Source organism: Homo sapiens, chromosome 15 (genome assembly GCF_000001405.40).
Source record: "Homo sapiens chromosome 15, GRCh38.p14 Primary Assembly".
Classification (NCBI taxonomy): Eukaryota; Metazoa; Chordata; class Mammalia; order Primates; family Hominidae; genus Homo; species Homo sapiens.
Genome location: NC_000015.10, coordinates 51,068,973 through 51,090,659, shown reverse-complemented (window position 1 = coordinate 51,090,659; position 21,687 = coordinate 51,068,973). Strand labels below are relative to the sequence as shown.

Sequence of the window (21,687 nt, the reverse complement as noted above, 5' to 3'; positions counted from 1 at the left end):
GAATGGATAGGATTCAATAGGATCCTGTTGAGGAGGTGGCAGGTGAAAGGGAAAGACATTCCAGAAGTCATACAGCTTGAGAAAAGACACAAATAAACAGGAAGGCAGCTAGAGTAGAGGGCGCATACTGGGGAGTTCTGGGAGATAAAGCTAAGCGAGTACAGGGAGTAAGTTGGTCTTGGCAGGGCTTCTGGAGCCCCCATGATTCTTGAGCAGAGATGTGACCAAATGAAAGCTGAGTTTTCAGAATGTACATCTGGCAGAGATGGAGAGATGCAAGATTTGCCTGGACTTGGCACCTCAACTCCCAGGGTATGGCCACAACATCAGAGAAGGTAGTGGCACTAAGGCAAGATGGAAGAGGGAGGGTGCAAATGGCATTTCAGAGAAATCAACAACAGAAGTTGGTGACAGATTGTACAAAAGCAGTGAAAGGAGAGGGAGAGTTGAAGGAGACAGTGACATGTTGTGTTGGGTAACGTTCTCTGGAGGCAGGGAAATGCAGGAGACAGGCTCCCCCACCCCACAGACGCTGCCTCTTCCTTCAGGCACTTAGCAGTGGTGTTTGGGGTAAAGATTCTTTTCCCCTTTGACATTAAGTTTCTCAGGTGCATTAGTTTTGAGGCACTGTGAGGTTTGAGGGTTTGTTGATTCTCATTGCTAGGTTCCTTGCAGAGGCTGTTTAGTAATCTTTGTCTACTGACAGATTGAAGATAAATGGGCTGGCCTGCTAAGGGCAAGGACAGCCTGGGAATGATGTGCCATTTGGTTATTAGTCATATTCCCATTTCTTGTTCCTGTTTGTTGAAATTTGCACGGATCTCTGCCTCATCCACAGAGTAAGCTGTAGCTGCTTTCGGAGTCAGGACCTTGTCTTGTGCTTCTTCATGTTCCTGGGATTTTATGGACATAGTAAGTGAATGAGCATCTTGAGGAACCTCCTAAGAACTTTGCCCTAAAAGGCCAGACCAGCAGCCAGAAACCTGTCCTATAAAGTAGACAGGATGCCAAGGCTTTCCCTCAGTGTTTTGTTTTGTTTTAGTGTTTTAAGATTTCTGTACTGTCTGGGACTCTGTGTTAGGAATTATGGGAAATGCAAAGAGAGATAAGGACACAGTTCACCCTGTCCTCCAGGACTTGACATTGGATGAGGAGACAGGGTATGTCTACTGATGACCACAGCCTAAGCCAGTGCATGAAGACTCCTCACCTCCCTTACCTGGCATCATATCCACAACCACATATCCCTTGACACCAGCCCTTCCTATTGCATACTTTATGGTTATTCCTGTGCTGGACTGTTAGTTAGCTTCCTAAGGACAAGGACTGGGTCTTTTTCATCTGTATCAGCCCATGCCACCCATGTCCCCTAAGCATAGTGGCAGGTTGCTGGCTGAATAGGTAGGTGGGTGGGTGGGCGGATGGATGGATGGATGAATGGATGGTGTTGTGGGTTGGTTTGCTAGGAAGCAGACTGTGAGATGGAGGTCAGCAGCATGTACAAGGTTTATTTGGGACTTCTCTTGGAATTAATAACTGTAGAAGGCAAGGGAAAAAAGGGGGAAGGGAAGGGAGCAGGACTGGGCAGAGAAGCTGAGCTACCATGTAGACCCAACAGCCTCAGTTGAGCCCATGGGAACTCTGGAGCTAGAATGGCTCATCAGAACTATTCTGAGTTGGGGTGAGAGGCCAGGTCTTTATACCTTTACACCCCCAAAATAAGCAGTCATTAAAGGCAAGTCATTTCAAGGAACTAGGAATAACCTTGAGTGAGGCTGTTCCCTCCAGCTGAGGGCTTCTGCAGGTAGCACTACCAGCCACTTGTGGAGGAAGTCCTTTGTTCCTGAAGGGGAGTCCGTGCAGCACATGGCAGTGGTCACCACAGGTGGCCTCCACAGATCTTTAGGACTGTTTACTAGGGATGGCAGGCCTGTCTACCAGCAGAATTCAGGGGATAGTTGTTGAACTGCAAACTTTGTCTAGACCTCTTTGGGGCAGTTTCGGTTGCCAGATTAAAGTGGCCATTCTAGACCTCATAGCTCTGAATCCAACTGTTCAATCCACACAGTCCAGTAGATGCTGGCTGATCAGCTGTTTTGTGTTCAGAGTGGTGCCAGGTGCTGTGATAGTATACAGAAATGCATTTAGATGTGCTCCTGCCTTCCAGAGGTTTGTAGCCATATTGGGGAGAGAAAACCCACCTCAAACTGGATCTGTAAAACTGGGCAGCACCAGCAGTAATTGGTGCAGGATTTGGAGCATAGGGCAATGTGATTTGGAATTCTAGTGGGAAGGCTTCTTAAGGTGAAGACTGAGTGTATATGAATATATACATGGAAAGCTCTATTTCCTATGTTATTTTTCTCATAAAAAATACAGCACTTGCCTTTTTATTTGTCAACAAAGCTAAATTTTAGTCACACTTTCTATTAGCATAGTTCCCTAACTGGTTCATTTCCCTTCAGCATTACCCTTGGCTCCCATTCGAATTCACATGTAAATCTCTATAAAGACACTACATAAATAACTTTGTTTTGTTTTTCAGTCACTTGGCTTCCAACTCTTTATGTAAAATGCCTATGTAGGTGGATGTTTGGGCTGTATTCTATACAAATATAGAAATAAAAGGATAGAGAAGAAGAATTTAAAAGACAAGTTTCCTCTAAAAATCCAATCCAAAAAATCATATCAGGAGAGCAAATATCCTCCCCCTTCCCATATATATATATATATATATATAAAGGTATGCTAGAAAAATTTTATTTTATTACATATCAGAAATGTTCTTTTTAGGCAATGGCATGGGACAAATTCTGAGTCTGCTTTAGAACAATCTTCACGTTCATATTGGGTTTCCTAAGCATCATTGCCTGGGAATAAATTTGAGCCTGTTCATGGAAAATCTACCAGTGTGCATACTGTAAAAATGGAAGGCTTGGCAGCACAGAAAGTGCTAGACACACCCTAATAGAAACCAGTATTTTGTAACTCAGTTCTCTGGGAAAAAAAGGAGACACTTGGTGGTGTCCAATATTGCTTTAAACTATTGAAAAACCACAGGGGCAGCCACTGGCTTCTAGGTTGTGTTTCAGAAGTAAAATGTGCTTTCTGGGAAAATATTCTGGCCATGAAAGGAAGCATGTTAGCCATACGTAGCTTCATGGAGACTCCTGGTTTATATTTTTGTAGTAGAAGCATCCAGTTTCACATGAGGGAGGAGATTCTGGAAGGAGCTGTTGCTAGTGAGCACACACATCCCACACTCCTGATTTGGAGCCTGTGGGTTATGCTGGGAAGGTGGGCAAATACGAAGTCAAATACGGGAGGTAGGTGAGGGGAGCCATCTGCCCAGCAGGCCTCTGTGGCAGCTCTTTCCTGCCACAATTGAGTCATGGCTCCTTGGTTTCCTTTGGATAAGACTGAGAAAGTGAGGGTGGGAAGGCTGGGATTGGGGGTTACAGGATAAGAGAAACCAGGGTTTAAGAAATTGTGAGCTGGGTGCAGTGGCTCACGCCTGTAATCCCAGCACTTTGGGAGGCTGAGGCGGGTGGATCACCTGAGGTCAGAAGTTCAAGACCAGCCATCTCTACTAAAAATACAAAAATTAGCTGGGCATGGTGGTGCATGCCTGCAATCCTAGCTACTCGGGAGGCTGAGGCAGGAGAATTGCTTGAACTCGGGAGGCAGAAGTTGCAGTGAGCCTAGATCGTGCCACTGCACTCCAGCCTGGGCAAAAGAGAGACTCTGACTCCAAAAAAAAAAAAAGAAGTTGTAGCAAAACAAGATGAGAAATAAGATGGCATGATCCTTGCCAGCCCAAGGTCAGCCCCAGAGGGCTGTTACTGAACATAAAAGTATAATGATGTTTTACTTTTTATTTATCCTATATTAATTAAGCACTTACAATGTATTCGGGACTGGGTTAATTGTTTATATGGTAGTTGATCCTTATACCAGCCTTCTGGGCTATGTACTATAAATAGCCCCAATTTATAGAACAGAAAACCAAACACAGAGAGGTTAAGTAACCTGCTCAGGGTTGCACAGCTTGTCAGTAGAAATGAAGCCAGTCTAACTCCAGAGACTCTTCTCTTGCACCAGGTAGACTACGTAATTAGATTCACGGATGCCACCAGGCTGTCTTGCATCCCCCACACAGCTCCCACGGTTCCCAGAACCCTAACCCTTAGGCTCCCTCTGTTAGGTGAGGGCATTCTGCCTCCACAAAGGCCTGCTTTAAGCTGCAGACATTCCCTGCATTAGCCTATAAACAAAATGGGGAAGGACTGGCTGACTCCAGATCCAGATCAGGGGATGGTAAAGGGCGATCTGTGAGGGAAGATGGGAGAGTTAGCACAAAGCCACTGCTAGGCAGAAGGCCCTAGAAGGACGCTCCAGCCGTGGGCTTCTTCTGGATCACATGGGCCTGGTGAGAGAGGAGAGAAGAAGGTTTGAAAAGCAGAGTTAAGAGAGATACCAAAGTCAAATACACCCTTTTTCAAAGTGTGCTTAAGCTGGGTCCTAAGCCCTTTTTTTCACCCCAGCATTTAGAATCATTTCAGATATACAATCCCCAGGACATGGTGACCAGCAGGACTTGAGGAGAGAAAATTCAAAAGGTGAGAGTGCAACATAGTGAAAAGAACTTGACATTCAGAGCTGGATGACTCAGGTCTGTGTTTCAAGCATTGTCGCTTAGTTATTGCTTGTCAGTAACATTATTTTCTGACCAAAAAAGTGCAAGCTCATGGTAGAATATGTGAAAACAGTACAAGGAAGAAAATTAGATTGAGCCCTAAGAGAAGACTGCACTATTCCAAGAAGGTGGTCCAAAAGCAATTTGAAAAAGATGTGAGAGCTTTATTTAGGGAGAGAGGAGGGTTTAAAAAGAATGAGAGTCCTGTTTCTGAAATGTTGACCTGGGATGCTAAAAACATTTTGTTCCACTGTCAGGCAGTGTTAGAACCAGAACTGGAGGCCAGATCCCATGGCTTCTTTGTGTTTACCCCAAAACATGTAATTAAAAAAAAAAAAAAAAGAATCGGAGCTATTCCAGGTATTGAGATATCAAAAGGACTTTTGCTGTTTTTCCTTCTGACACCTTCTACTGTGTTCTTGCCACTCCCTCCCATCACCTGCATTTCCTTTCTTAGGTTTCTCCATCCTGGGCCCATTTGCCACAGGTCAGACCAGCACAGGCCCACGCTAGCACGTTGCCCAGGGGCCTCCTTCCCTTGGGTCAGGCCCACTTCTCTTTCTTAGTCAGAAGAGCCCTCCACAAAGCCCTCAGAAGATTAATGCATTTTTTTTTAATACTTGAGAGGCATTTGGTAGGTTTTACAGATGCCCAGTGACAATTGCAAAGGTTAATTTACTTTGAGCTTAAATAGCTACCAGCTTCAAGAAAAGTTTATTGGCCACTAGTTCTCCAATTACATTTTATCTTTCTTTAGATTGATTTTTTTTTTTATTGTAAAGAAACTGGCATGTTTGTTCATCCATGTTTGGTCTCTCTACCTTTAGGATTTAACTTCATAATTCGCTGAGTCAAACAACGCAGGCAGAGCTAAATTTATACAGGGTCAACTTTTAGAGAGCCCACAGCAGTATCTGGTAGGTATCAAACCTGAATTTTTGTGACTCTATTTTTCTTTGTTTCTAACTTCTCTGTGTATAATCCTGGTTTCTCTGTACCTTCTCAGTTGCTCCTCCTGCATCCCTCATTAATACCTTTTTCCTAACTATGTCCCTTAAGATGGAGCTCTTGCCTTGCTTTTTTCTGACAAAATACTTTATTAGAAAAGACCATCCATTCTTATAACAATAGCTGTAAGCTTTTGGGAAGCTAAAGGCTCCCAAAGTTGTACTCTAGCCCAGTCTTCTTTCCTGAGCAAGAATCCTGTCTTCTAAAGGCCCCGGACCCCTCCTCCTCACTGTTTAGGAGACACCCCAACACACCCACTCCAGGCCATCACCTTTCCCTCACTTTTTCCCAACTCTGCTGGTGGCCTTGACAGCCACCGAGTCACTCGAAGTTAAAAGACTGTGAAATCATAGAACAGTGAAAACTCCTCCACACATGTTCTCATAGCAAAACCATGACATGGATAAAGCAGGTATTATCATTCCTAGTTTACAGATGAAGAAACAGATGCAGAGAGATTAAATTATCCCAATCACAAAGTAAATGGCAGATTTTTGCTATTTAAAACTGGCCAGGGCGGGGGCAGAAACAAACCTAAATAAACAACTTGAATATTCAGTCAAATATTTATGGAATGATTAAATACATAATGACATTTCCACACAGTGGGATATTATTCAGATGTTAAGGAAAGTTAATTTGAAGAACATTTGATGATATAGGGAAATGTTCACATTATAACATTGTCAAAGAAGGCTCAATAATCTGTGATCCCTGTTTTTCTGTATGTACGTATATACATAAATGTGCATACACACACACACACACACACCCCTATACATCTACCCCTTTGTATATGGAGAGGGGGAGAAATCTCCCCTCACAGTCACACACGTAAACACTTGAGATTTTTTGTTAATGCTCGAGCAAAATAAACCACTCTGTGATGAGTGCATAGGTAATTTTAATTGTCTTCTTTGTAGTCTTCCAGATTTGTCTTCAGTGAGTACATGCAGCTTTCAGCTGGTAATTTGCTTTTATAAACAATAGCCAAGTGAGCTGCAGTGCCTGTTCCCCAGCTCATCCTCCTGCAGGCTTGTCCCAGGCCCCTCCGTCCTCTCCCTTGAAATTTGCTCTTCCATCAATTCCCTGTGTTCCAGTCCTCTGTGGCCCCCCTCACTGGCTCCGCCCAGCCCCCTGCCTGGGGTGATCCAGCCTTCTGCCCTGTTCACCCCCTGCCCTAGCCTCAGCCCTTGCTTTCTCTGGTGCCTCCACCCCCATCACCACCTCCTGCTCTGAGCCCACCTGGCCTAGCCTTTGTGGGCCTCCATGCCATGAACAGGGTCAGAGCTTGTAAATATGAGGCCTACAGACTGGCCAAGGACACTGCAGCATCCCAGTCTAAACGCACCCGTGGGTGAGCCTGTGGACTCAGCCATCTTGGCTTTCTTGAAACTCAGCGTCGCTGCTGCTCGCTGGCTGGCAGGGGGTCCACTTGGCAGCTCTGACCCACATGCCCTCTGCAACCCTTCCTCTGTCCTTGACCTCTATTCCAGATATGAGTGACATTCACTTCCCACATTTTCATTTACCTATACTAATTTTGTGTTTTTATTACTTTTTAAATTAGAGGGGGATACAACGACATTTAAAAGCCTGTTGTAACGGGATTGTTAGCTTTTAGGAGGTATTGGTCTGCCACCACCACCGTCAGTCCATCGTTCCAAAAAAATTTATTATTGAGGAGTGGTGTGATATTAAATATAATGTGAATCTATTTCTGAAGGAATTAGACTGAAATTTAATTGAAGATTCCTTGTGCATCTTGAAGCTAAAAATAAGAGATCATACGGTGGCCCCAGAATCCCTTACTCCCCTCTAGCCTCCCAAGCAGAGGTAGCCCAGTCAGGAGGCTTCTAGAAAAGGAAGTGCCCACCATTTAGATTCACATTTAACAGAATTTTTAACCCAGTTTTAAATTAGCCCCAATCACCCTTAATAGTTGGTATTCCCCATCAGCCAGGATTTTGTCTATCTTTATTTACTTTCTTGGTTTATATTATGAAAAATGATTTATCCTTACTCCTTTTCAGGTATAAAATTATACAGTCAGGTGCTGCATAATGATATTTTGGACGTGATAGTAGTCCCTAGGCTTACAATGGAGCTAAAAATTCCTTGCACCTGATGATGTTTTGACGATCTTGACCCTTTGTCGGCAGAGACTAATGTATGTGTTTTTCTTAGTTTTTAACAAAAAAGTTTAAAAAGTAAAAGAAAAAAATTAATAGAAAAAAGCTTATAGAATAAAGATATAAAGGAAAAAATAATTTTTGTACAGCTATACAATGTGCTTGTGTTTTAAGCTAAGTGTTACAACAAAAGTCAAAAAGTTTTTAAAAATTTAAAGTTTATAAAGTAAAAAAGTTTCAGTAAGCTAAGGGTAATTTATCACTGAAGAAAGAAAAATGTTTTTTATAAGATTAATGTAGCCTAGGTGTACAGTGTTGATAAAGTCTATAGTAGTGTACAGTTATGTCCTGGGCCTCCACATTCACTCTCCACTCATTCACTGACTCACCTGGAACAACTTCCAGTCCTGCAAGCTCTATTCATGCTAAGTGCCTTAGAGAAGTAGACCATTTTTTATCTTTTATACTGCATTTTTACTGTACCTTATACATGTTTAGATATACAAATACCATTGTGTTACAGGTGCCTACAGTATTCAGTACAGTAACATACGGTACAAGTTTGTAGCCTAGGAGCAAAATGCTGTACCATATAGCCTAGGTGGTAGTGGGCTTGACCATCTAGGTTTGTATAAGTACACCGTATGATGTTCACCCAATGGCAAAATCCCCTAATGCATTTCTGAGAACGTAGCCCCATCAAGTCACTCATGACTCTATGTTGACTATGCTTTTTCACGCTTCCAGAAAAGTCCCCTCATTAAAAAAAAAAAAAAAAATTCACTCTTTCTTAGTTTTCAAGTTGAAAGCAGGAAAGTTCCCTTATTTAGTGCCTTTATGAAGGAGCCATCTTTTCTTATTATTTGCAAGTGAGTGACTATGACCACTGTGATTTTAAAAGGAGAGATCAGGGAATAAGAGAGGGAGAATGATTGAGACAGGAGCAAATTGTTGGACAAAGGGAGCATTGTGCCCAAAATGATGGATAGCTCATCCTAAGACCAGCAAGCGTGGTAAGCACAAGGGCTGCTACCAACCACCTCTACCCAGGATTTCTCCTCATCCTGGGAGGGAGGTCAGTGATGTGCCGAGACTCAGGGAATGGATGAGGAGGCCTGTTTCCACCCATTCTTAGTGTTTTGTTTTGTTTTCTGTTGTGTTGTTGTTAAAAAACAAACTATGTAAAAAGTAGCTCTGCCAAATTGTCATCACTCAATGAGAGTGGCTGAGGTCTGAGCAGCATGTGAAGAGGGTGGAGGTTGGTGCTAAGACAGCACACAGGTGGAATCAAGGCCAGGTGAGGGCCAAGAGCAGCTGGTCAGTGGTTCAGGGAGTCATGGGGCACATGACAGGAGTGCTGTAGGACAAGTCCATTCTCTCATGAGTCACTGAGTCCCGTCATGGCTGCCCCAGCTTTCTTGAGCCCCTCCACCTGGAGGGTAGCCTCTTTTAAGCTCAAAGAATCTAAAACTTCCAGAAAAGCTGGGCCCCCCATGGGCCCTACCCATCTTGTCCACACTCCAGAAGCTTAATATCTCCTCCTGACTTCACCCTGTCCTCCCCATCTCCCTGGTCCCAGCTCTCTGCCTCACCTGAGATGTCTTCCCTTCCCTAGCCCATCTCAGGCCCAGATGCTGCTCTCCGTTTCCACTGCCTTGGGCCCCCACCCACCCCCACAAGCCCTCCTGAGTGTTAGAGGGACTAAGGCAGTGAAAAAGCCAAGTCTTGTGGCCATTCCTGGAGTTAAGTCACGAAGCAAAAATCTTAAAAGCTTCCAGAGAGAAAAAAAACAGGCCCTTACCAATGTATACTAGTTTTCTAAATAGCAACACTGAACTTTAGACAACAATGATGCCCTGCCTTTGAATTCTCAAGGCAAATGATTTCCAACATAGAGCTCTAGACCAAGGCAAACCATCCATCAAGGGTGTGGTTGGAATAAAGTCATTGTATGATATGTTAGATACCAAAAAATGACTTTATCATGTCCTCTTCCTGAGATAGCTGCTTACTCAGGCGGCAGCCAACTGAGGCCCCCAGGCCAAATCTGGCCTGCCACCTGTTTTTGTGTTTCCATTTTTAAGTACACCTTACATGGTTATTTACACTTTACATGGTTATTTAAGTACCTATACAATATCCTCTATTTTGCCTTTTTCTCCTTTACTCTGTGGCTCTTTAAGGCGGTTTGCCGAAGTCTGTGCTAGACCAAGTGCTCCACTGAACCGAGGACCAAATTAAGAAAAAGGAGTTGTGAGATCCAAGAAACAGGAGATGGACACAGGAGAGAAGGGGTAAAGAGTGAAGGGAGGACCCAGGATGACTACGTGTGTCAGGCATCAAGAGAAACATGCCCAGACTTGAGTTGGGGGACAGAGGGCTGCCAGAGATATCTCCAAGAAAAAAAAAAAGTGGAAGCAGTTGATTAGTTGATGTGTTTGAACCTATTGAGAAGAACTTTCTATTCTGCTACGAACTTTAGGAATGAATTTGCACTAGACAGATAAAAAACTAACCAGGAGATTAAAAAATAGTGTTTAACTCCTGGGAAAACAAGATGAATAAGAAAGGAAATGCAGGCATGGAAGTTATAGGACACTACATGACTTGGCTATGAATGATAGCTAAATCATAGTAATGTCATCGCTGAAGTTTGATTTAACCAAATGTTGAAAGAGAAGCAAATTGGAAGGTGGAAGGAGAAATGAATGGGAAAGAAAGCTAAGTTTTCACCTTCTGTAGTAGACAGTTAAAAGCAAATAAAATCAAGAATTAACAGTGTAAGCATGTAATTTAAATATAGAGAGGTAATTATTCATTGAAACAGCTAAAATAGTTTAAACTATTTTGTCTGTAAGTAGCTAGCATCAGAGGTGTGCTGGGGATGCTACATCATGTTATAAGCCTCCCTTGTGGAATGACTTTTCTTTTTTTTCTTTCTTTCTTTTTTTTTTTTTTTTTTTTTTTTGAGACAAAGTCTTGCTCTGTCACCCAGGCTGGAGTGCAGAGTGCAGTGGCATGATCATAGCTCACTGCAGCCTCGAACTCCTAGCCTCAAGTGAACCTCCCACATTGGCCTCCAAAGTGCTGAGATTACAGGCATGAGCCACCATGCTCAGTCTGATTTGACTTTTTAAATAATTGTACCCTGTATTACTTTGAAAATAATTTTCTTAATAAAAAGAAAAGAAGTGACAGAGCAACCTGGTGAGTGATGTGGCAACCATTCCCAGGTGAGAGTGTCTCAGGCCCCTGGTTGGAGGACATGCCAGCTCTCATTATCATTATTGTTCCTGACATGAGTGTGAATGCATTTCAATAAAATGTCATGAGTGAGAGCCATGCATTCAAGCAATGAACATTCTCTGTTTCAGTCCCTAGCTACAGTTGCCCAGATAAATAAGCCTTGGTCCCTGCCCTCAAGGAGTTCACAGACCAGTGGGTGATAAAATTCCTCATCCAGCTAGTGGATGACTGATTGCTCCACAAGGTGATAAGTGACAGGGCAGGTGATTGCAAAAAGAAATTGCCTAGAAGTCAGAAGTCATTCAAATGGAGCCCTGGAAGCTAAGCAGGAATTGGGCTGGGAAGAGAGTAAGAGGTCAGTGTCCCAGCACAGGGACAGAAAATGCAAAAGTGCAAGGGGACCCAGGCCTGGTGCAGGTGAGACCTGCCTGTGGCCTGGAGCTGGGAGCTTAGGGTTTGTAGAGGGTGAAGAGAAGACAGATGTCAGTTCAGTGGCCTGGTGTGCCATGCTAAAGAGTTGTCTGGGCTGTCTTGAAGGTTATGGGAATCCCCTCAAGGCCTTTTCTAGAGGAGCAGCATCATCGAAGCCTGCTGTCAGCCTGGTGTGGAAAATAGAACAGTAGCTGGGGTAGAGAGATGAGCAAGGAGACAGACAAGCATTCGGGGAAGAAACCATGAGGGTCTGTACTGAGGTAGCGAAAGAGAGGCAGAGGAAGGCAGGTGCATTTAAAGATGTTACAGAAGCTGAATAGACAGTCGGAGGCCTCGTTAGATATGGGAGGTGAGGGAGAGAAATAAGGCAAGGATGGTCCCCAGGTTCTTGTCTGGACACAGGCCGGTGGCAGAGTCACGTATCATACAAGGAGAGGACTTCAGGAGGGTTGGAGAAAGGAGCTGAGAGAAATGTTGAATGTGGAGGGGGAGGGATCAGGCAAGCAGTTATGGATGGGAGAGTCCCCTGGACTGGGGAACATGCGGGGCAGGGGTCAGTCCATGGGACAGGGGTGGCATCTCACACTTGGGAAGTGTCTAGCGAGAGAAGAGGACCCTGAGTGAGCTCAGGAGGACACCCAGACATGAAGCATAGACAGAGGAGGAGGAGGCCTGGAGGAGGCTAAGGAGGGCCAGAAGAGGTGGGGTTAGGAAAGCAAGACCAACAGAGGGTCCCCTGCTGCTGGTGACCAGGTAAGCCGTGTGTATCGGGGTGCCCTCAGCGTTCCAGGATTACAAGTAGTTAGCATATCTGCCCCCCGGAAACAGCCTTTAGAACCCCCCGCCCCCGCTTATATTTGTGACAACCGAAAATGCCCTCCCATGTTTCCAAACACTCCTCAGGGCCAATTACAAGATTATTTGGTGACCTTGGTGAGAGCGGTTACCAAGGAGTCTGTGGTGAAAGCCAGGGAAGAATAAAACCACAGCTCCTCTGTCCTGCCGTGGCCATTCCCTCCTCAGGCCTCTTCCGGGGCTGCCCAATCACTATTTATTTTTTGAGGTTTAAATGTATATTATTGAGTTCCTAGCACATGTCAGGGACGCCACGGTGAACACGACAGTTAAGGTGATGCAGAAGTTTTTGCCCCTTAGTTCAGCTAAAACGGGGTTCTTGTCACATGACCAGGAAAGATGAGGTCCGCAGACACATTGAAAGGTGAGGGGAGCAGAATTTATTAAAAGAAAGCTCTCGGAGAAAAAAATAAGTGGTCCTGCTAACAGGCTTCCACCTCACAGACTGAATTCCAGGCCAGCACACTCGAGCTGGAGTCCAGGCTCCTCCCCCTGCCCAAGGCGCGAAATCCTGAGGCTCCGCCCCCTGTTCCCCCAGTGCGCATGTGCATATTATTAAGCGAGAAGCTGTCGGGGAAGGGAGGGCAGACAAGGGTGTTCTCCCTCTGGGTTGCGGGTTTCTTACGGGACCGGCAGTCGGGTCTTTCAGCTTTCAGACTGTTTTAGGCTTGAATGGGGTGTTTTGCAAGGGACCCCTTGGCTGTCTCCTGTCTCTATCAAAGGTCTCCCCTCTCGGAACTGCCAGGGTACAAACAATTGAAGCCAGGTGGGGGTTCCTTGACTAGGCCCCCTTGCATAAGATGGGAGCGGGGTGGGCAGCAGGGCGTGCTTGGCTTAGGGAGGAGCTGCGCTGAGCAAAGCGGGATGAGAGGCTGGGGAGACAGGCGGGGCAGCTGGGATATGGGACCAGCGGGAAGGGCTGGCCTTGAGGTTTCGGACACGAGTCCCACCCACAGCTACGTCAGCACAGGGCGGCCTGCCGGGGCCTGGGGGCCTGGCAGTCTGTGGTTTGGTCTGTGGGCACTGAGGCCAACACAGGAAGAGGCCTTGGGGAGAGCCAGCATGACGCCTGCTGACCGCACGCTCTGTGGCGAGCACAGGCCAAGGACTGACAGAGGAGGCTGAGGTCTAATGGAGGAGTCAAGGGCCCCAGGGAAACAGGGGAGGGAGCAGCATTTTGGAGGGAAGTCACAGATAAGGAAAGCTGGAGGCTCCAAGGTCGATGCCCCAGGTGTTACACAGTGAGAAAGAAGCAGGAGGATTCCATTTACGAAGAATGGCGGGAGTAGAATGGGGGGCGGCAGGAATCCAGCACGGGAGAGGAGGAACGCGGAGGACCTCTCCACAGGCATCAGCGCACATCTGATGCGTGCCCAGATGATGACAAAAATTCAATTTATCATACTTAAGGGGTTACTATTAAATTGAGAAAGCAAATTAGCAGAATCTTCTAGTCTGCTTTCTCATTTAACAGACCCAGAAACCAGCAGGTAAAGAGATGGGCCCATGGCACACAGTGAGTGCGCTGGGGGTGGCAGGGGCAGGGCAGGGCTGGAGGCCGGGCTCTGTCTTCCACTTCCTGCTGCTGGCTCAGTGGCAAAAGTCAGGACCAGGACTGGGCTCTCTCGTTTTCCCTGTATCCGAGGAGCTAGCTACTCCATGGATACACCCTGGCATCTTGATTGTGCAGGACAGCCATTCTCAGCATCTTTGAGTGACCACACCTGGTGATTTGGTTGGAAAACAGTGAAACCTTTTGGTGGTACTTCTTTACGTTACCATGAAGTATAAAAAATTCTATTCTTAGCCATTTGTGGCCTTAGAGTTTAATTTAGAAAGGAAGCCTGAGAGAAAGTCACATTTCTGAGAAACTTCCAGGAAGTTAAGCCTCCACAGCTAGTTGGCCCCTCCCATTACGTGATGTGAATGGGATTCCCCCTGGACTCAGAGTGGTTCCATCACAGTAGCGGTCCCAGCAGAGCTTAGGAGCCCAACCTCAGGAGATCTTGCGGGTGTCATCCCACCTCCCATCTGCTAACAACATCCCTCAACACTGTCATTCCACAGGCCAGATATTGACCATGACACCAGCAGATATTAAAAATGTGGCTTGACTTGTCTTAAATCCGTAAACAAAACCAGTTTTACTACAGAGTATATGTAAGGGAGATTATAAGCAATATATTACATGTCCCTTTCCTGCTGTTCCGCATTCAGATTGACTGAAATCCAAAAATGTCATTGTTCAGGATTCATATTTCACTAAAAAAAAAATCAAGTAGAACACTGAGGAAGCCATAATGCTGTCTGCCAAATCATCTCCCATACAGAAGTACCTTCTGGTTTCTTCTCCCTCGTGTGTTCTGACCTCTCAAGTACAGCTAACAGTTTGTCTAGTTGTTGTTAAGCTCACTAAGCTGAGGGTTTACATGTTACTACATTAATTAATTAGAGCACCTTCCAGTAGCCTCAGTCCACTGTCACAGGCCATGTTTTGTTTCTTTTTTCCAAGATAGACGAGTTTGTTCCATTTTATTGTTTTGCACATTTTAGGTTCTGCATCCATCCTCCAAAAATTACAGCATTCCAAAGACTGACATTTTTATTGCATTAGACTGTTTACTAATTTCACATATTACGGTGTTGGCATGCTCCCATGGCTCTGAATGTGGCATCCTACTGGTGTCCTTGTTAGCAGTCTGGTGTTCTGAGCCTGAGTTCTTGGGTGCCTGCCGTGGTAGAGAAAGTTTGGGAGCTGCCAGCAGAGAGAGAGAGGATTGCCCAGAGAGACAGAACGTGGACTGTGCTATTCCAAGCCCGACAGCTCCTGAGTATATTAAAATAGCTCATGAGTGTGAAGGGGCGTAAATGGGGAGGCTCCAGGGGTGGCAGGAAGGAGGGGTGCTTCTGCCATGGAGAAAGGGTTTACTGCTGGAACTGAACACTGAGAGCATGGTGGGCAATCCCTCTGGCCCCCAGGTGATGCTGCTGTTGTTGGGTCAAAGACAGGCAGAACCCAAGTGGGCCAAGCAGATAGCTCCGTATGAAAGGCAAAGGGTGGACCTTGTGCTTAGTTCAGAAGGCATTTGAGTACATTCAGTTCCACCTGCACATTGTGAATATGCACCTCCTTCCAGGTGTGGGTCCTGAACTGATGGAATCTGAGCCTCAAAGAACAAGAACAAACACGCTAAAATCATTCATCAGTCATTCATTTACTGAGACATATATACAAGACATATACTGAGTAACTTCTGCATAGTAGGCAGTTCTGCTTATGGGGATTCACAGGTCTTCTGAGCATCAATCCCTAAGAACTCAGCACCGGATGCGGAAAGTAGATGGCCAGTCGCAGTGCAGCACAGGAACAGGGCTACCACTGAGCTAGGTGTGAGGGCCAGCCTCCCTGACAAGAGGGATATAAGGGTTGGCCAGGGGCTCATGGTGGGAGGGGACCTTCAGCGGCAACAAACAACCTGTCAGCTGTGCCTCTTCCACCTGGGCGAGGGTCCACTGGATTCAGCTATGGCACGAGAGTCAGGGCATGGCTGGCAGCCAGGGCAGCACCCTTAGGGAGAGCTGGCTTGACTTCTGGTACTGTTTGGCTGTCATCCCGACTATTTCAGCCAGTTGGGTTAGGGCAAAACCATTTTTGTGAAGAGTTGAGCCTCCTTTTGGCTTTGAATTGGGCAAGCAGGCCTCTGGTAGGAGGGATGGGATCCGGTGGGCAGAGCCAGAGGTCTGTTCATGGAGCTCCTCTTCAGTATCTCCTGTTACTTTGTTACTTAGGAAGGAGCATTAGAAGGGAATCCTACCATGTGCCAAAAGGCACCCTTTTCCCCAACAGGCAGCCTGCTGCTAGGTTGTTACTTTCTGCAGATACTTCATAGCAAAAACTGGAAACAGTTTGAAACCTACCAAGAGGGGACCAGTAGAGAAAATGGTGGCATGTGCTATTGTCAAAAAACAATGATGTAGTACATTTGTTGTCATGGAAAGATATCCTCAGAATGTCGAGTGAAATGCAGGCTAGTTTTACTAAAACTGTCAAAAAACAGTTAATCCCCACCTTACATAAACACTCTCAGACACAGAAAAAGAAGGAAAGCTACTCAATCCGTTTTATGGGACTAGTCTTCTCTGACATCAAAATTTGACAAAGATAGTACTATGAAAAAGTTATAGACCAATCTCACTTTTGAGTATAGTTGCAAAATGCAATATTTACTAGTAGAATTCACCAGTATAGTAAATACATATGCATCATTGACCAAGTAGGGCTTATCCTGGGAATATAATGATGATTTAAATCAAAAAGTCTTTGAATAATTGGTTAAATTTACATATTATAAGATAAATTATATGATCATCTCAGTGGATACAAAGAAATTGTTTGCTAAAATTGGATACATTTCTACTTAAAAGCAAACAATGCCTTAGCAAAATAGGAATAAAAGGAAGATAACTTGATAAGGGGTATCCATCAAAACCCACAGCAAACATTGCATACTCAGGGAAATTTTAGAGACAATCCTGTTAAAGTTAGGAACAAGACCAGGATGCCATGTAATGCTATTCAACACTGTGCTGGATGTTTTCTACCGGTGTTATAAAGCAGGAAAAAGAAATAGGGGGTCAAAGAAAACAATCATTTTGTGTAGGCAATGTTGTCTACATTAAAAAGTCCAAGAGATGCTATATAAATTAGAACTCATAACAGAGCTCGGCAAAATGTCTCAATTGGAGATAAGTATACAGGGATCAGTTGGGTTCCTATGCATCATTAATAACCATTTAGAAACTGTAATAGAAAAAAATTAACAGCAGCAACCAAAACTGTAAGGTAGCTAGAAGTAAATCTAATGAAAGATATGCAAGAGATTTATGGAGATGACTGTAAACATAATTGAAGGACACAGAAGAAGATATGACTAAATGGAGAGACATGTCATGTTAATGGAGAGGAAGATTCAGTATCATAAAGATACCAGTTTAGGCTGGGCGTGGTGGCTCACGCCTATAGTCCCAGCACTTTGGGAGGCCAAGGCAGGCAGATCACCTGAGGTCGGGAGTTTGAGACCAGCCTGACCAACATGGAGGAACCCCATCTCTACTAAAAATACAAAATTAGCCAGGCATGGTGGCGCATGCCTGTAATCCCAGCTACTCAGGAGGCTGAGGCAGAAGAATCGCTTGAAACCGGGAGGTGGAGGTTGCAGTGAGCCGAGATTGCACCATTGCACTCCAGCCTGGGCAACAAGAGCAAAACTCTGTCTCAAAAAAAAAAAAAAAAAAAAAAAGGATCCCAGTTTACTTCAGATCAACATAGAGTGCTCATGGCATTTGATCATATTATCCTAAAATTCCTATGGAAGAATAAAGGCAAGAATAATCAAGACAGTTTCTAAGCAGAATAAAGTGAGGGTGAGGAGGGGCACTTCCCTTTGGACTATCATGACTTACGAGTTATATTAAGAAAACTTGGTTTTTGTACTGAAATAGACCAGAGTCTAATAAACAGAGTAAAAAACTCAAAAACAGATCTATGCAATATAGAAACCTGATATGAAAAGAAGGGGCCTACCAGATAGGTAGCAGAAGTATGAACTATTCAATAAATAGAATAAATCGTGGGGAGAAAAAGATTCCCAACCTCATGCAATATGTACAGATAATTTTCAGATTGATTAAAGACCTAAATGTGAAAAACAAAACCTTTAAACCTCTGGAAAATATATGGTTATCTTTTATCACCTCATGGCAAGAGAAGAATTTTTAAAATGAGATACAGAAACCACCAACCATCAAGGAAAAGATTGATAAATTAGACTATTAAAATTTTAGATTTCTGGCCAGGCGCGGTGGCTTATGCCTATAATCTCAGCACTTTGGGAGGCTAAGAGGAGGCAGATCACTTGAGATCAGGAGTTCGAGATCAGCCTGACCAACATAGAGAAACCCCATCTGTACTAAAAATACAAAATTAGCCGGGCATGGTGGTGCATGCCTGTAATCCCAGTTACTCGGGAGGCTGCAGCAAGAGAATTGCTTGAAACCAGGAGGCAGAGGTTGCGGTGAGCCGAGATCGTGCCATTGCACTCCAGCCTGGGCAACAAGAGTGAAACTCCATCTAAAAAAAAAATAGCTTTCTGTATGATTAAAGACACCATAATAAAGTTAAAATGTAATGCTACAGACTGGGAAGAGATAGTTGCCAGCCCTGTGATCAGCAGAGGCTTAGAATCATAAGCAAAATATACAAAAAAGAAAAATATATATAATTCAACTGAAAAAATGAGTAAATTATATGAACAAGCAATTTGCAGAAGAGAAAAACCTTAATGCCCAATAAACACAAATACATTGACTCTCACCAGCAATCAGGAACATGCATATTAAAACAAGGTACCATTTTATACCTATCAGATTGGCAAAAATTAAAAAGTTGGATGATTTGAAGTGTTGATGAGGAAGTGCAACCACAGGAACTCAAGACACTGCTGCTGGGAGTGAAAATGAGTGCAGTCTCTCTGGAGAGCCATTGGCAGCCCTTGCTGCTGCAGGCCTTGGCAATCAAGTTATAGGTATAGACCCCAGGAGACTGTTGTGTGTGTGCGCACAAGGAGACACTTTTTCCTTGCAGAAAATGGAAAGAACTTAAATGTCCATCAGGAGGAAACTTGAAGATATATATTTATATAAGCAACTAAATGATTAAACAAGATAAATCTTGAAAACAGGATGTGGAATAAAGAGTTGTAGAAGGATCTGTGTAGTATGACACCTTCTGTGTGAAATTTAAACATGATGTTGATGCATGCATACTTATGAAATGAGACAAAAGCATAAAAACGTGGATAGATGAAAAAAAAATACAACTTCTGTAGTGCAGTTTGATCTGGGAGCTAGAAGCAGAAGAGAGGGAGTTGAAAGCAAAGAGGGCTTTACCTCTCCCTGTCTTTGAGGGTAAACTATTAAGAATTTTTCCACCTGAGTGGTGACCACACAGTGTTTGTTAAATTATGTTCTATTTTGGCCATATGTTTGAAATGCTTAATATTTAAAATATTAACAATTGTTCCATCTGGGTGGTGGCTACACAGTATTTGTTAAATTATCTTCTATTTTGTTTATGTTTATGTATATGTTTTTAGGCATTACATATTTTTATCTATTTATATGTTTGAAACACTTGGTGGTTTTTAGAAAATTAATTCTTTTTTTTTTTTTTTTTTTTTTTGAGACGGAGTCTCGCTCTGTCGCCCAGGCTGGAGTGCAGTGGCGGGATCTCGGCTCACTGCAAGCTCCACCTCCCGGGTTCACGCCATTCTCCTGCCTCAGCCTCCCAAGTAGCTGGGACTACAGGCGCCCGCCACTACGCCCGGCTAATTTTTTTTTTTGTATTTTTAGTAGAGACGGGGTTTCACCGTTTTAGCCGGGATGGTCTCGATCTCCTGACCTCGTGATCCGCCCGCCTTGGCCTCCCAAAGTGCTGGGATTACAGGCGTGAGCCACCGCGCCCGGCCAGAAAATTAATTCTTGTGAGGGAAAAATACTGCTCAATCTCCATCTTAAAGTGGGCAATAATTCAGAAAACATTTAAACTAATTGATGTTTGTCACCCCATGCATCGCAGCTCAGTGTGGCAGGCTGAAGCACTGAACTCAGGCAGACTCTGGGGCAGAGTCTGCCCAATCCAGCTCTGCCACTTTCTAAATGGTGGATTCAGACAAGCTACTTAATCTCTCTTTGCCTTGGTTTCCTTGATGTGAAATGCTGCATCCATTGCTATCGCTGACATTAGTGCCTACTTGATACAGTTGTTGCAAGAATATGATGGCTTAACTGTGCATAAAGCACATGGAAGAGCAAGCACTTTATTATTATTATGCCTGAATATAATCTACCATTCAGAAAGACACTAGTTATTTGTTAGATGCAAGGGATTTGGGGGAATGAATAAGCTTCATTTAAAGAAATCATGTAAGTAGATGTTGTTTTTAGTGATGGTTACTTTTCTGCAGTGAGCCAAAAATATCTCTCAGATCTCCAAAATTAACCTGTTGATTTGGAGATGATTCACCCCCCAGTGGCTTCACAAGTATCTGCTTCAGTGAGCTCTGGTAAGTAAAATTATCAAACACTCATTCACTTTTCAGAGCTGGCTGTAAAATCAATATGAAAAGCAACATTAATATGTAACTGTTGAAATATACAGAATTCCCTCTAAAAATGAAAGCTACATCTATCTTCAAGTCTTGATGAGTATGTTCTATCACATAAGACTGGCCCTTTTGTATTTAAAAAAGTGATGAAATACAACTCCCCTAGGTAGGTGGAGATTCAAACTGAGGCCTTTAATGTTTCAAATAAGTGAGAAATCTCAGTCATTAGGGAGCCAAGGGGAATTTTTCGAAGGCAGATGCAGGAAGGCAAAGACTGTAGGCTTTGGTGTCTGGTGAACTTGGGCCCAACTGCAGCTTTGCTACTTACTAGCCACTTAGCTTGCAGTGAATTACTTAAATTGACTGTGCCTCAGTTTCCTCATCTATAAAATGGAACTCACAGTCCCTCTCTTGAGGAATTGTTGTGAGGATCAGATACATGGTATATACCACCTCATGTGCGTAATCTGTACTCAGCAGTTGTCCTTATCTCTGACATTATCATTAATTGAGTTACAGATTGCTCAGTGCTGATGGGTGATGGATTGGAGGCTCTAAAACAAGCTGAGATAATGAGCTAAAAGGTTTTACAGCTCCTCCTGCCAATCTCTCTTCTCTTCAAGACCCAGGAATTGGGGTAGGGGAAAGGTCTTCATCTTGAAGACAATTAAATGCTGCTTTTCAAGTGTAATTATTCAATGTAAGGCATTGAAGCAATCTGAAATTGCATCCTGTTTTGACTGCCATTGCTTTTGTATGTTCTTATTCAGCACCCTTAAAATGTCCAAAAGAGTTGGGAAATTTTGTCATGTTTGGTGCCCCCAAAACACACAAATCCCCATTCCTAGCCTGTGGATGAATGAATCTCTGGGACTGAGCAGCTACCAACTGCAAAGCCAAAGCTCTCTGCCTGTTAGCAGGCCCCAGCCAAAGGCAGGATCTCAGGGGCACCTAAGCCAGAGCTGGAGTCAGGAAAGCTGGTCACACGGCAGAGGGGGTGAAGACTGGTGAATCAGCACCCCTGTTCTGCATTTGGTTGTCTCCGGTAATTCACTCCTTCATCCTTCCAACCTCTGCCCCCGTCCTATTGCACCCAAGCCTGCCTCTCCCTCCCTACCCTAATTTTTAAATAATTCATTCTCTTTATGAAGAG

At 44.1% G+C, this 21,687-nt stretch overlaps 1 protein-coding gene and 1 long non-coding RNA gene across 3 annotated transcripts in view, besides 3 other annotated features; one reads left to right on the top strand and one right to left on the bottom strand.

The window, feature by feature from the left end:
- MIR4713HG (MIR4713 host gene) overlaps positions 1–21,687 on the bottom strand; it is a 256,425-nt gene that overhangs the window by 203,253 nt on the left and 31,485 nt on the right. The window lies entirely within an intron of this gene.
- The window catches only part of TNFAIP8L3 (TNF alpha induced protein 8 like 3), a 48,676-nt gene that overhangs the window by 14,617 nt on the left and 12,372 nt on the right, over positions 1–21,687 (top strand). The gene's annotated exons all lie outside the window — the stretch shown is intronic.
- Positions 11,568–11,727: an enhancer, noted in NCBI's record as "active region_9403". NCBI's record gives its function as "activates an Ori minimal core promoter by ATAC-STARR-seq in GM12878 lymphoblastoid cells {active_cell/tissue: GM12878}" and the evidence as "EXISTENCE:reporter gene assay evidence [ECO:0000049][PMID:35858748]".
- Positions 12,774–13,068: an enhancer, noted in NCBI's record as "tiled region #8572; HepG2 Activating non-DNase unmatched - State 23:Low, and K562 Activating DNase unmatched - State 8:EnhW". NCBI's record gives its function as "activates a minimal TATA promoter and a strong SV40 promoter by Sharpr-MPRA in HepG2 and K562 cells {active_cell/tissue: HepG2 | K562}" and the evidence as "EXISTENCE:reporter gene assay evidence [ECO:0000049][PMID:27701403]".
- Positions 13,333–13,889: an enhancer, noted in NCBI's record as "H3K27ac-H3K4me1 hESC enhancer chr15:51368968-51369524 (GRCh37/hg19 assembly coordinates)". NCBI's record gives its function as "activates a minimal SCP1, AML or CMV promoter by ChIP-STARR-seq in primed H9 embryonic stem cells {active_cell/tissue: H9 hESC(primed)}" and the evidence as "EXISTENCE:reporter gene assay evidence [ECO:0000049][PMID:30033119]".